General features: G+C 42.2%; 1 protein-coding gene and 1 pseudogene across 2 annotated transcripts in view; one reads left to right on the forward strand and one right to left on the reverse strand.

Annotated features, from left to right (window-relative positions):
* LRRC72 (leucine rich repeat containing 72) overlaps positions 1 to 7,459 on the forward strand; it is a 54,744-nt gene extending 47,285 nt beyond the window's left edge. For both annotated transcript variants that reach the window (XM_011515057.2, NM_001195280.2), the window contains 2 exons: positions 5,965 to 5,992; positions 7,215 to 7,459. In XM_011515057.2, coding sequence (XP_011513359.1) covers positions 5,965 to 5,992; positions 7,215 to 7,380 — 194 coding nt within the window. In that variant the 3' untranslated portion in view covers positions 7,381 to 7,459. The remainder of the gene's footprint in view (positions 1 to 5,964; positions 5,993 to 7,214) is intronic.
* Positions 9,139 to 12,807, reverse strand: LOC317727 (ataxin 2 like pseudogene; annotated as a pseudogene).

Below are 13,306 nucleotides of genomic sequence, written 5' to 3' on the forward strand. Positions count from 1 at the left end.
ATGCCAGTTAGAATGGCAATCATTAAAAAGTCAGGAAACAACAGATACTGGAGAGGATGTGGAGAAATAGTAATGCTTTTACACTCTTGGGGCAGTGTAAATTAGTTCAACCATTGTGGAAGACAATGTGGCGATTCCTCAAGGATCTAGAACCAGAAATACAATTTGACCCAGCAATCCCATTACTGGGTATATACCCAAAGGATTATAAATCATTCTACTATAAAGACACATGCACACATATGTTTATTGCAGCACTATTTACAATAGCAGAGACTTGGAACCAACCCAAATGCCCATCAATGATAGACTGGATAAAGAAAATGTGGCACATATACACCATGGAATACTATGCAGCCATAAAAAGGATGAGTTCATGTCCTTTGCAGGGATGTGGATGAAGCTGGAAACCATCATTCTGAGTAAACTAACACAGGAACAGAAAACCAAACACTGCATGTTCTCACTCATAAGTGGGAGTTGAACAATGAGAACACATGGACGCAGGGAGAGGAACATCACACACTGGGGCCTGTCGGGGGCTGGAGGGCTGGGGGAGGGATAGCATTAGGAGAAATACCTAAAGTAACTGATGGGTTGACGGGTGCAGCAAACCATCATGGCACATGTGTACCTATGTAACAAGCCTGCACGTCCTGCACATATATCCTAAAACTTAAAGTATAATAAAATATATATATATATATTTTATACTTGTCTAACTCACCAGGCATGGTGGCTCACGCTTGTAATCCCAGCACTTTGGGAGTCCAAGGCAGGCGGATAATTTGAGGTCAGGAGTTTCAGACCAGCCTGGCCAATATGGTTAAACCCCGTCTCTACTAAAAACACAAACTTAGCCAGGCATGATGGCGGGCACCTGTAATTCCAGCTACTTGGGAGGCTGAGGCAGGACAATCGGTTGGACCCGGGAGTTGGAGGTTGCAGTGAGGTGAGATCGCATCACTGCACTTTAGCCTGCGTGACAGAGTAAGACTCTGTCTCAGAAAAAGAAAGAAAAGGAGGGAGGGAGGGAGGGAGGGAGCAGGCTGTGACCCAACCACCTTGGGCACATGTTCTCAGGATCTCCTGAGGGCTGTGTGATAGGCCATCGGTCACTCATATTTGGCTCAGAATAAATCCCTTCAAATATTTTACAGAGTTTGACCCTTTTCATCAACAAGGGTATGGTCCCCAATCCAGCAGCATCAATATCACTTAGAAACTTGTTACCAATTCTTGCCCCAAACCAGATTTACTAAACTAGAAACAAGTGTGGGACCTGAGAAGCTGTGTTTTATAAAGCCCTTCAGATGATTCTGATGTACACTCAAGTCAGAGATCAACCAATAGAGAGGTGGTAGTACCAGTGTGGGATTAGACTCCCTTGGGTTTGAATACCAGATCTGCTAATAATTATAAGTTTTATTTTGGACATTTGCTTTAGATTTCTGATTTTTAAAATGAGTATAATATCTTGCTTTGACTGTTATGCTTGATATGTAAAACATTGAGATACTTGATCTGACACATACCAAGTGTACAATAAGTTGAACTATTGTGTTAATCAGCCACTTCCTTGGTTTATGTAAAAGTCCTTCCTTTTACTTCATGTGAGAGGTGATGGCCCAAATGGAATGTTATTGGAGTAGACCATGCTGTGGTAGGAAAGGAGTCTTTAGATAGAAAATCTCCCCTCTTAAAAACAGCGAATGCACACAATAACAAACAATGCAAGGTCAGCCCCCACAATCTATTTTTCAGTGCTATAATTATTATTGGTGTGATCCCTACCTTTAGGGATCTACATTTCTTTTGTTTAACCAGATTGCTGGAAGAACTATAATCCTTTTTAAATTCTCTTTACTCCTTTTCATATTGAACCTCCAAAAACAAAATCAGGAGCAGAAAAGATAGGGAGAGTATTTTATTGCATTTGAAACTTTTTCTTCTTAATTAAAAGATATGTTGACTAAAGCCTCTAATAATCGATAGGACAATTATTATAAATCTACTCATTTTCCACAAAAGGCCGCTATATCATAGCAACTAAAAAGTATTTTTAGCCCAGAGTATGGCTTATTTTAGCATATCTTAATTAAGCAAACATTTGTAATAAAACTAATAAAACGCGCTATGTAAATTTTTAAAATTTATCCATATAGTTTTGCAGCTTCTATATTTGTTTTTTTATAAATCTTACCTTATGGTGACATTCTAAAAAATTATAAGAGTAATTCTAAGAGAAATATGAATTATTTTATTGGAAAGAAACTACACTTAAAAATGTTTATGAGGCAATTGTAAAGCCACATTTTGATTTTATTATCCTTCATCTGAAGTTAAGAAACCAATTATATTTCTAATATCTTGAGAAGCAAGATCAATTTTAAGTTTTCTTCAAGTCCCATCTATCAGTCCTTATCAAATAAGTATGGTTAAAAGGGTTGTACCAATTTTCATTACTGTCTCTGGGTTTTATTGCATGATAGCCAATATTCTCAGAACCAAAACACTTTGGGCTTCTACCTGGCTTTAAGAACCTGATTTGCAGATTTTTCACCAATTACCTATATGTAAATGTAGAAAGACATTAAGGGGTATTTAAAATAAAATACCAACAAGCTTTTAAAATGTCCATTAGTGGTCCAAAAGTGAAGCTGCCAGATTTCCACCATGTTTGCTCAAGACAGAGCTCCAGGTGCTGAGCCCAAGCTGGGGTATAGTGTCACAGAGCCTGGGCCTGGCAGGTGAGGCATGTACTACTAGGGAAGACAGAAGGGTAAGGCCAAAAAGGAAGACCAGGCAGACTATTTAACAAACAGCAATTCACCAAAGAGTGCACCAGTACAGACAAGGCAGGACACAATCCAGAGAAAACAGATAATTGAAAGGTATGAGCTGGGAGATCAACGGCTCAGGAAATCAAGTCTTGAAGACATTTCTGACTTTGGGTAGCTATGACATATCAGGCACACCCAGAAGAGTAAATGCCAACTGCTACCTATGCATGAAGGTTCAGGTAGGTATTAGAGGTCAATGTGAGATCTAGAGATTGTTTGGCATAGGGCTGAGCAACTGAGGGAGTTGTGTACAAGAATTTGTGAAGGGAAAAATCAGCAGTCAACAGAGCTTCCATGTTGCATAACTCCAGTGGACACTCTTTGCACAGAAAACATTTACTGAGGCCCCCCAAGAATTGTGCCATAAAGTAGCCCTGGGCCAAAGAGATAAACTAGAATTACTTTCTAAGGGAGATACCATATACAAAAATAGATTCCAGAGAGATTGAATATCTAAATGTAAATGAAATCAGGAAGTTCTGGAAGAAAATACTTTCATAATCCCAAAGTGAAGGCCAATCAAAGCCTCACACAAAACTCAGAGGGCATCAAAGAGAAATGTTGACAGATTTAACTACATGAAAATGAAAAACAATTATATGTATCCCATAAATATGTACAACTAGTATGTATCATAATAATTAAAAATAAAAAGCATCATATAGGAAGAAAATTAAAATGCAAAATTGGAGGAAGTCTTTATAACATATATAATAGGCAGAAGTTAACACTCATAATTTCTAAAGGACATCTCCAAGTCAATTTAAAAATCCCAGTAGAAAACAAAATAAACGACATGGACAAGACATATATACAAAGAAAGAAATGTAAATAATGATCAGCTTCACTAACGATCAAATAAATGGAAATAAAAACAATGAGATACCATTTTCATCCAACAAGTAGGCAGAAGTTTTAAAGGGTTGTTAAAGATGAGGGGGGAACGAGCACAATTCATGTTATTGATGGGAATGTAAACTCGTTCAACTCTCTTGGATGACCATATGGCAGTATCCACCAACATATAAAATGTGCAAACCATTTGACACAGCAACTAAATTTGATCTCTCCCCTACAGAAGTGCTTGCACATATGGACAAAGAAAAAATATATAGGTATAAGGCTGCATGTTGCAACATTTTTTATAATAGCAAAAGTAGTAGAAACAATTTAAATGGTCATTCATAGGAGAATGTTAAATAGACTATGGCACATTTGTATAATACAAACTATTCCATTATAGAATTAATCCATAATATATTTGGAGGTATTAAAAACACCTTGGCAAGGCGGGCAGATCACCTGATGTCAGAAGTTTGAGACCAGCCTGGCTAACATGGTGAAACCCCGTCTCTATTAAAAATACAAAAATTAGCCAGGCGTGGTAGCAGGCGCCTGTAATCCCAGCTACTCAGGAGGCTAAGGCAGGAGAATCGCTTGAACCCAGGAGGCAGAGGTTGCAGTGAGGCAGAGGTTGCAGTGAGCCGAGATCGTGCCACTGCACTCCAGCCTGGGCAACAGAGTGAGACTCCATCTCAAACAAAAACAAAACGAAAACAAAAAACAAAACCACACACATTGAAAAAATAGTATACTATGAGTAATAACAAAATTAGAATTTTGTCAACAAACAAATCTCTATGTATATATACATGTATGTGTGTGAGTACACGTGTGACATATAGGCTGGAAACATACATACAAAACTTTTAATAGTGATACTTAATAGTAATAAGAGGAAGTGGAAATTTCCCTTTTTACTCACTATTTTCTTTATTGTTTATATTCATTGTAAGTAAAGTATGCGCTTTTTGTAATTAAAAATGAAGACGAGAACAGGGAAATCCTGTCATTTTTTGACAATATGGATGACACTGGAGAGCGTTATACTAAATGAAATAAGACAGACACAGAAGAACAAATACTGCATGATCCCACTTATATATGGAATCTAAAATAGTCAAACTCATAGAAGCAGAGAGTAGAATGGTGATTGCCAGGTGCTGTGGGGAAGGGGAAATGGGGAGATGTTAGTCAAAAGGTACAAAGTTTAAATTATATTACACAAATGAATAAATTCTAAAGATCTTATATGATGTGACTATAGTTAGCCGTATTGTATACTTGAAGTTTACTAAGAGAGTAGATCTTAAGTGTTCTCACCACGTATACACAAAAAATGGCAACTGTCTGGCTGATGAATATGTTAATTAGATTGAGTGTGATGATTATTTCACAATGAATACGTATATTAAAACATCAAGTCGTACACCTTAAATATATACAGTTTTTATTTGTCAATTATACCACTAAAGCTGGGAGAAAAATGTAGAAAAAGAAAGAGCCTAGGATGATCAGAAACGCATGAGAGACTTTCGTTAGCCACTTGTGAAGGGAATAATGCTATGAATTCAAAGGCAGAGAGGCTTTGTGGTCGCTGCTGCTTGTGGAATGGCAAGAGGTGATACTGTGGGCTTCTCTGGCACAACAGGTGCTAGTAAAATCCATCTCTGTACGGGCCCTAGGCTTTCCGGAGGGAAATCAACAAAGCAGTGACAGTCTCTGGAAGACACCGTAAGAAATCCAGGTTTTGAGGACTAGTCTTGGAGCTTCAAAGCTAGGAAGATCTAGATTCTTGTGATCTAGTATTTGTTTATTCCGTTTCTTTAAAGTTAATGCTAAGAATCCAAATGGTTGAAATGTTCCTAAATATTTCCCCTCATTTGGACTGTTAGTCCATTTATAGATGCATGTGCCTTTCGGAAGAAAAGGGATAGGTTTCTGCATATCAGCCTCAATATCTTAATTATAAAAATTCCCACTTGGATTCCATTGGTACATTATAAATTGACTAAGCTTTCTGTTCTCAGGGTTTTGAGATTTGTATTGTATTAAAAAAATTTGCCCCAAAACCTAAGGCAAAACCCACTATATCTAAGAGAAAGTTTTGCTTTGGAGTTAGATAAAAAGGCATTTTTGACAGATTGAACTATTTGCGTAAAGAATAACTTGAAAACAGAAAGCCCTGCTTTATACTTTTCCTTTATAGCATTGTTCCACTGTTTTTAAATGCTGGATAAATATTTTAAAATACTAACTTTAAAATGTATTTTTTTTTTAGATTTTGCATTTGCAAATAATGTAGACAAGTAAGTAATTTTATCTATACATTTATTATCAGATTATTTCATAATTGTGTTGTCCCTTTACTTCATCTCCATTTCCTAAAATAGATTTTAATGAATTAAAAAATGACTCACTCTTCAATAGATGAGAAAAATTGCTAGGTCTTTCTGTGATAAATGAGTTCAAGCTCTGTATTAATATTTGACATATTTGGGCTTTTAATATTACTATCAAAGTCCTAAATAAGCAAAAAGATAATTTGATGCTTAAAAAAATAAACCTCGCCAGGCGCAGTGGCTCATGCCTGTAATCCCTGTACTTTGGGAGGCCATGGTGGGTGGATCACCTCAGGTCAGGAGTTCGAGACCAGCCTGGCAAACATGGTGAAAACCTGCCTCTACTAAAAATACAAAATATTGGCCTGGCATGGTGGCAGGCGCCTATAATCCCAGCTACTCAGGAGACTGAGGCAGGAAAATCACTTGAACCCAGGAGGCAGAAGTTGCAGTGAGCCTAAATCATGCCACTGAACTCCAGCCTGGGTGACAGAGTGAGACTCTGTTTCAAAAAATAAAAAAATAAAAAATAAACCTTAACTATTAGCTATTCTGAAAGTGGGGTTTTATATTCCTTGTTTAGCTATTCTCTAAATATGTTCAGTCATAGCAGTTATCATGTAGATTAACATTTTATATTCATTGGAATTTACATTTCCAAAAGCAAGCACCTCACTAATACTATGGAAGACTTTTCAAATTCATGAATACTGATGAATTTAGAGTCATCATTCTTTTTTTATTTTTTCACTTAAGATGTTTTTCTTTGGATACAGTATTGAATATTATCTCCATGTACATTTATAAAATATGGCATAATGTAGAAAAAAACTTAGCAATACAATGAACTTACAATAATAATATGCATAGATCTATAAATATTTTAACCATCTCATTTAACTGGTTTTAAAACATGACTGCATGAGTATGTGAGATCTAAACTGTAATAGTTGATCCCCAAATATGTTCAGATACTTTATTTATAAAATAAACAATATATACAATAAAAATAGTGTCACTTAGCCTGAAAGTCATTTGTCAGTGGAGCCCGCAAATTATTTGTTAGTGGTACTATACTACAAATAACACAGAAAAACATGGCATTGATTCATTTGAATAAAAATTTCATTTTGGTCAAATTTTCATTTTTGATTGCTTTTTTTCTGACATAATTGCTTTTTTTTTGCAGAACTGTGCTTGATGACCCAGAAGATGCTGTTTTTGTGAGGTCCATGAAGAGATCAGTGATGACTTTGACCTCTATGAACTGGGACACAGTTCCAACACGAGAGGAAAGGTACCTTGAAGAGGAAGGCACAGAAACAGCTCAAATGCTCACAGTTACACTGAGATAAGCCCTGGTATTTCTAGATATCTTAGTGGTTTTCAGTTGTATATTAAACTTCCCTGTGACTTAGCATATTACATACTTACAATGATATTATTTGAGACATCTAAATGTAAACAGAAACACCAATAATGAAAAATAATTCCTACATTTTAGGTTTTTAAATGTAAAGTTGTTTAAGTAAAATTGTGTACAGAAATGTATAAAATTCATAAGTGTTCAGCTCAATGAATTTTCAAAAATTGAACATGTTTATGTAACTGGCATGCTAGATCAAGAAATAGAACATTATCAGGACTCTGAAACTCCCTCCTTCCTGTACCAGTCACTACTCACCCTTCCAAAGTAATCATTGTCCTGATTTCTAGACAATAAATTACCATGTCTGATTTCAAAAGGCATATAAATGGAATCATAGAACATGAATATTTTGTGTCTGGCTTTTTTCACTTGACGTTGTAAGATACATCCATGTTGTTGCTAGAAGCAATGATTCTATCATTCTTACTGCTATATAATATTTCATTGTAAGACTATAACACAATTAACTTATCTGGTGTACTATTTTTGACTCTCATCTCTGGAGATATTTGCCAGTTCTGGCTAACAGTCTGGGTTTGGTGTAGCCAGAAACTTGCTCCTCAGGGAAAAAAAAAAATCCAAATGCTTTTAGCAGTTGCCTAGTACTGAGTGACAAAAGTGGACATTGGAGGTAACTCAAATTCATTACTGATTTTCCCTAAGGAGCTAGATAAAAGGCTTACAAAGGGCAGAGTGACATCTCCCTCTAGCTGATGGTGCTTGGGAAACACAGACACACTGTAGAAGTGGACTGGAATCAAACTAGGCAGGAGACGAAGGCCTAGAAGGAATAGTGAATTGACATTGAGAATCTACAGCCTCCATTCACCTGTGGGCACTTATCATTCTGTGCACGGCCAGAGTCTAAAAATTCAGATATGTTCCCTGGAAAAAGGTTGCAGCTAGAATAAAGAAAAAGCAAACATTTGACCATTCATGTAGGTGAGTGGCTGGTATCATGACAAAAGTAGTTGTGTGTGGCTTCCAAGATTAGGTGATAGAAAGAATTGAGGCATTCCCTTGCTCGGGCTTGGGCGATAATCCAAAAGACAAAAGACATAGTCCCAAAAATGTAATTCTGGAAAAAATAATTTAAAAAAAAATTAAAAGACATTTGTTTACATTTTTTAAAACGGATTTGTTTGAGAAACATTATATCTACAGAACATTTTGTAGGCCACTTTATACAATAAAATAGGCAATAATGACATACACATTTTTGCAAGCATAAGCACTCAGGTATACTAACGACAGTTGCACAGGTGTAAATAACAGTTATGAGCAAACAAACCATATTCATAAAGAAATAGGTCAAAAAGCAAAATGTATATCACAAATGCAGACATCCAAAAAGGACATCTCTTCATTTATTGAGGAAGTTTCAATGTTTTCATGCACACACACACAAAGCTTACACACAAAATCAGTGTTGCAAAAATATACTTTTGTGAAGTCAGATTTTTGAAAAATGTATAAAACAAATTATAACTCTAAGTCTTGACATAATTCCTGTATTGGAAATGGAGGTATAAGTTAGCAAATTACAAAAAGTAATGCTCACAATTTAAAATCGTGGACAAAAAACTAAAAAGATAACTGTACATATGAAAAAGTATATTATGGGAATAGGTTATAAGCTATTGGGATGAACTAGGCCATAAGAGTTGGCTGACTTTCACAATTATTTAAAATTTTATATATTTATTTACTTTTAATATTTTTATGTAATAAAAAGTAAAAGTTCTTGTCCAGCCATCCTCATGGGGCATCTGTCTGTCTCTCACACAGGTCACTCAAGTTAATGGGAAATAAAGAACAGGGGGCCTAAGTCTCAGGTTATAAATAATAGAAAATAAAAGATCTTCTGTGTCCAGCAGGGAAATAGATGAGAGGATGGGAGGGCAGTACTGGGTGGGGACAGGCAGGGGCAGAGCAGGAACCCCTCAACCCCGCTGGACCCTGGCGCTGCCCTCTGTAGGCCCCTCCTATTCAAGGTGCTTGGCAGGAATTCCCCAGCTCCCCTGGGGAAAGGGGGGATGGGGAGCTGGGAGTAGTCTGAGCTGCTGGGGGAAGAGACATAGACCATTCTTCTCTCCACTCATGGAGGTCTCAGATCGCGGCCAGGAAAATCTTCAGTTCCCCGGTGGAGTGGAAGGGGAGCTGCTGGGAGGGATAAGATTGAACTCCACCAGTAAGTCAGGAGACAGTCGGGGTCACTGAGAGCTTGGGGGTGTCCAATGTAGGGGTAGGGTAAGGGTGTGGAAGCTGAGAATGCAGGCACCCCACTCTGGGGCACTGCACTTTGCGGGGGGGTGCCCATGACTCTGGGGTGGGTGCAGCAGCATCACCTGGGGCGAGTGGGGCTGCTGTGATTCCAGTTTGGACATGGGCCTGGGGAACATGGGCCATGTTGGTGAAGCCGTGGGGCAGCTGCTTGTGGTGGATGGCATACACAGTGGCTGGCTGGGGGAAACCGCTCTGAGGGGACTGGGCAGAAGGTCCCGGTGGCAGAGAGGGCAGCATGCCTGTCAGGGCCCCTGGGTGGTACAGATTCTGCTGTGGCTGTCCACTGCCCAGGTGTGGAGCCACCCCCGCCTGATGCTGGACAGGACTGGGGGCTGCAGGCTGGTTCCCAGTAGGTGTGATAGCCGGCTGCAGCTGGTGGGCATGAAGCTGTGTGGCATAGTTTGGGTAAGCCTGGTGAGCAGTGACATAAAGGGCTTGGGGGGTGGGCTGCTCCACAGAAGGGTACTGAGGGGTGGAGGATGACACGATGACCTGGGGATGGCTGCCCAACATCAGCATGCGTGGGTTGCTTTGAAGCATGGGAGCAAACACCGGCTATGAGGGATAGTGGGCCATGGGCTGCATCATGGCAGGTGGGCCTGGGAGCTGCTGAGGGTTGTAGGGGATGTAGGAAGAATAGGGCGTGGCAGCCACCAGAGGTGAGCCAGCAGCCACCGTGGCGGGGCTGAGGCTGGCTGGTGTTGGTCCCAGAGCTGTGGTAGCAGGGAGCCTTTTGCTCCCCAGTACTTGCCCTGCTGCCCAGACACTGAATTGGATACAGGGTATGGATACATCTGAGGTGCCTGCACAGCTGGTCCCATCTGGATCTGAGGTGTGTAGGAGATGTACTGGGTGCTGTATAGCCCACTCTGGCCTGCCGTCAGCACTGGGATAGAGGGAGTTGAATGAGTCTGAGGCCCTGGAGAAGTTGGGATACTGGTGGATTTATTCACAGACAGCAGAGGCTTTGTGGGATTGAACTCCTTGGTATTGGGGTTCAACGTTGATTTCTTGTTCAGCAATAGGGCCCTCATCCTTGTCCTCTCCTTTGATGAGGCCAAAGGGGAGGCTGCCGGTTTGGCTTGGGCAAGGTGGTGGGGGCGGCTCTGGCCCCTCAGTGCCTCCTGCTGGTGCCAGGGGTGGTTTGTCCTCCTTATCCGATACAGACTCTGTCTTGGAGGAGACGGGGGACCCCATGGGCTCTGAAGTCAACAGACCATCATCCTCCTTCTCCTTTCCTTTGGCCTCCTCCTTTAAGGTCCAGGGAGGAAAAGGATCCAGGCTGTTCTCAGGGGAACTACTGGGCTGAAGATTAAACTGGGCCCCACACTTTCTCAGTTCTTCCAGATGGAATAGTTTCTGTTCATTCTGAAGACCAGGGACTTTCTCAGCTATCTGAGCCAGCTACTGGGGATCCAGGGTTCTCCCAGGTTCCGTGGTAGAGAGTTCTTTTACATCTGTGGGGGCCAGGGAGATCTTTGGAGAAGCTGAGGAAATGTAGCCCATTCCAGGATCTGAGACTGATGAGGTCACAGGGATGGAGGCTGAAGAGGTTGGCACTGCTAAGCCGATGGGAAGCTCAGGACAGGAAGGTGAGATTGGGGCAGGGGCAGCAGACCTGGGAGAACTCGGGGGATACATCCGGCCCACTGCAGGAGGAGGAACAGAAGTTTCTCCGGAAGGCCTATTAGTGGGCGAAGACAGAGTCTTGGCACCTCTCAGAGGCCTCTGTGCCTTTGGGGACATGTGGGAAGGGCCTCCATTGATACCACGGGCCTCAGAACCTGGGCCAGGATTGCTATTGTCCAGATGGCGAGGGCCACGAGGTGACAAATTGCTAAGGCCAGGCTGACTGCCCAGAGGGCTGCTGCGTCAAACTCCTCCCCGGGGACCTTCCTGGACTCGTTGAGGCAGAGGGATGATATACTTCCCCTTCCTGGATGCCAAGCTGGGGCTCTCCCGCCCCGAGCCCTGCCGCTGGACCGCCCTGTGCTTCTCCTCTTCAGTGCGCCCATCGTCGCTCTCCATGGCGATCCGCAGGTGGTACTGGGGGCTTGATTCAATCTCTGGAGCCAACTGGGCTGCACGCAGCTCTCACAGCTGAAACTCTTTCGAGTTGTCCTTTTCTAAGGGCACCGTATAAGGAGAAAGACTGCTGTCATAGGTGGTCTTCACACCGTAGTTCTCTTCATTGAACTTGAACATTTCATTGGGGTCCCATCCATTGGACATGTTGGACTCGAGGTCGTAGTTGTCGCTGTTGCTGTCACCCCGCTCCCAGCGCTGAAGCACCTTCTCTTTGTGTTCCCCATTCCCTTCGAGTTCATGGCGATGGCTGAATCGGTGAACTTGTCTTTAGTAGCGTAGTTGAAGTCAGCATTTCGGAAGTGAACAAGCATGACATCACTTGGCTTAAACACCATGGTGTCTACAGTGTCCTCCCGACGAGGGCCAGCTGCTGGCTCAGATGCTTTCTGGTGTACAATATCCTCTGCTAGTTCAAAATGTGAGCTCAGCGTCTTGAAGATACCTTCATAGGTGGTGCCATTTTTCACCTTTACATCACAAGTGGAGCCCACAACAGCTGTAAGGAAGTGCAGCATTCTGGAATTGTTGTAGACGCCTTCAAACACAGGTGACTGCGGAGGTCCCTTTCCTGTGCTCTGTCCCCTGGCGCTGCCGATGGCAGCGGCCCCCGGCCTCTCGTGGTGCTGCTGCTGCGGTGGCGGCTGCGTGGTCAAGATGCTTTCGGCTCCCCAGCGGAGCCCGCTCCCCGCAGCCGAAGGCCCCAGGCAGGCGGAGGAGGCTGCGGGAGGTCGCGGTGGAGCTGCGTAGGAGGCATGGCCTGTTGCGTAGGGGGCGGCTACTGGGGCTTGGACAGCTGTTGTGGCGGCTGAGGCTTCAACATGATAGCAGCGTCCGGAAGAGGAATTAAAAGGAAGGGAGGGAGAGAAAGGGCCGGGGCTGGGGCCCCGCGGGAGAGCATGGGAAGTGAGGGGGATCGGGAAGCCAGGCCTGCCATTGGCAGGCGGGGGGAGCCCCGAGGTGTCGGGGGCGGGTGGAGAGAACCCCAATTCTTAATTATATTTTGAAATGTTGATGCAGGATGTTTTTGCTCCTTAGTTCAGCTAAATCCAGGTTCTCGTCTCACAACCAGGAAAAATTAGGCATGCAGACATGTTGAAAGGTGAGGAGGCCAGAATTTATTAAGTGAAAGGAAAGCTTTGAACAAAAAGAGGGGTCATGCACGCAGGTTTCCACCTCACAAATTGAATGCCAGGCCACAACACATGAGTTGAAGAGGTCAGCCTCCTCCCACCTGTAAGGCGCGAATTCCTGGTGGCTCCACTCTATTCCACAGTGCTTTTGGGCCTCCAGTTCCTTGTGGGCATGCCCAGGTAAGACCCTGTGCAGGTTCCCTTATCTGCACAAAAACATCTGGCATAAACACTTGTGGAGCAGAGATTCTCCAGGGACCCTTCTTTATCTGCATAGGCATTTGTCTGCATCCGACCTCTATCAGTATTGCATCTTGATGAAGAGCTGCTTTTTTTTTTCTTTTAGGC

Source organism: Homo sapiens, chromosome 7 (assembly GCF_000001405.40).
Source record: "Homo sapiens chromosome 7, GRCh38.p14 Primary Assembly".
Classification (NCBI taxonomy): Eukaryota; Metazoa; Chordata; class Mammalia; order Primates; family Hominidae; genus Homo; species Homo sapiens.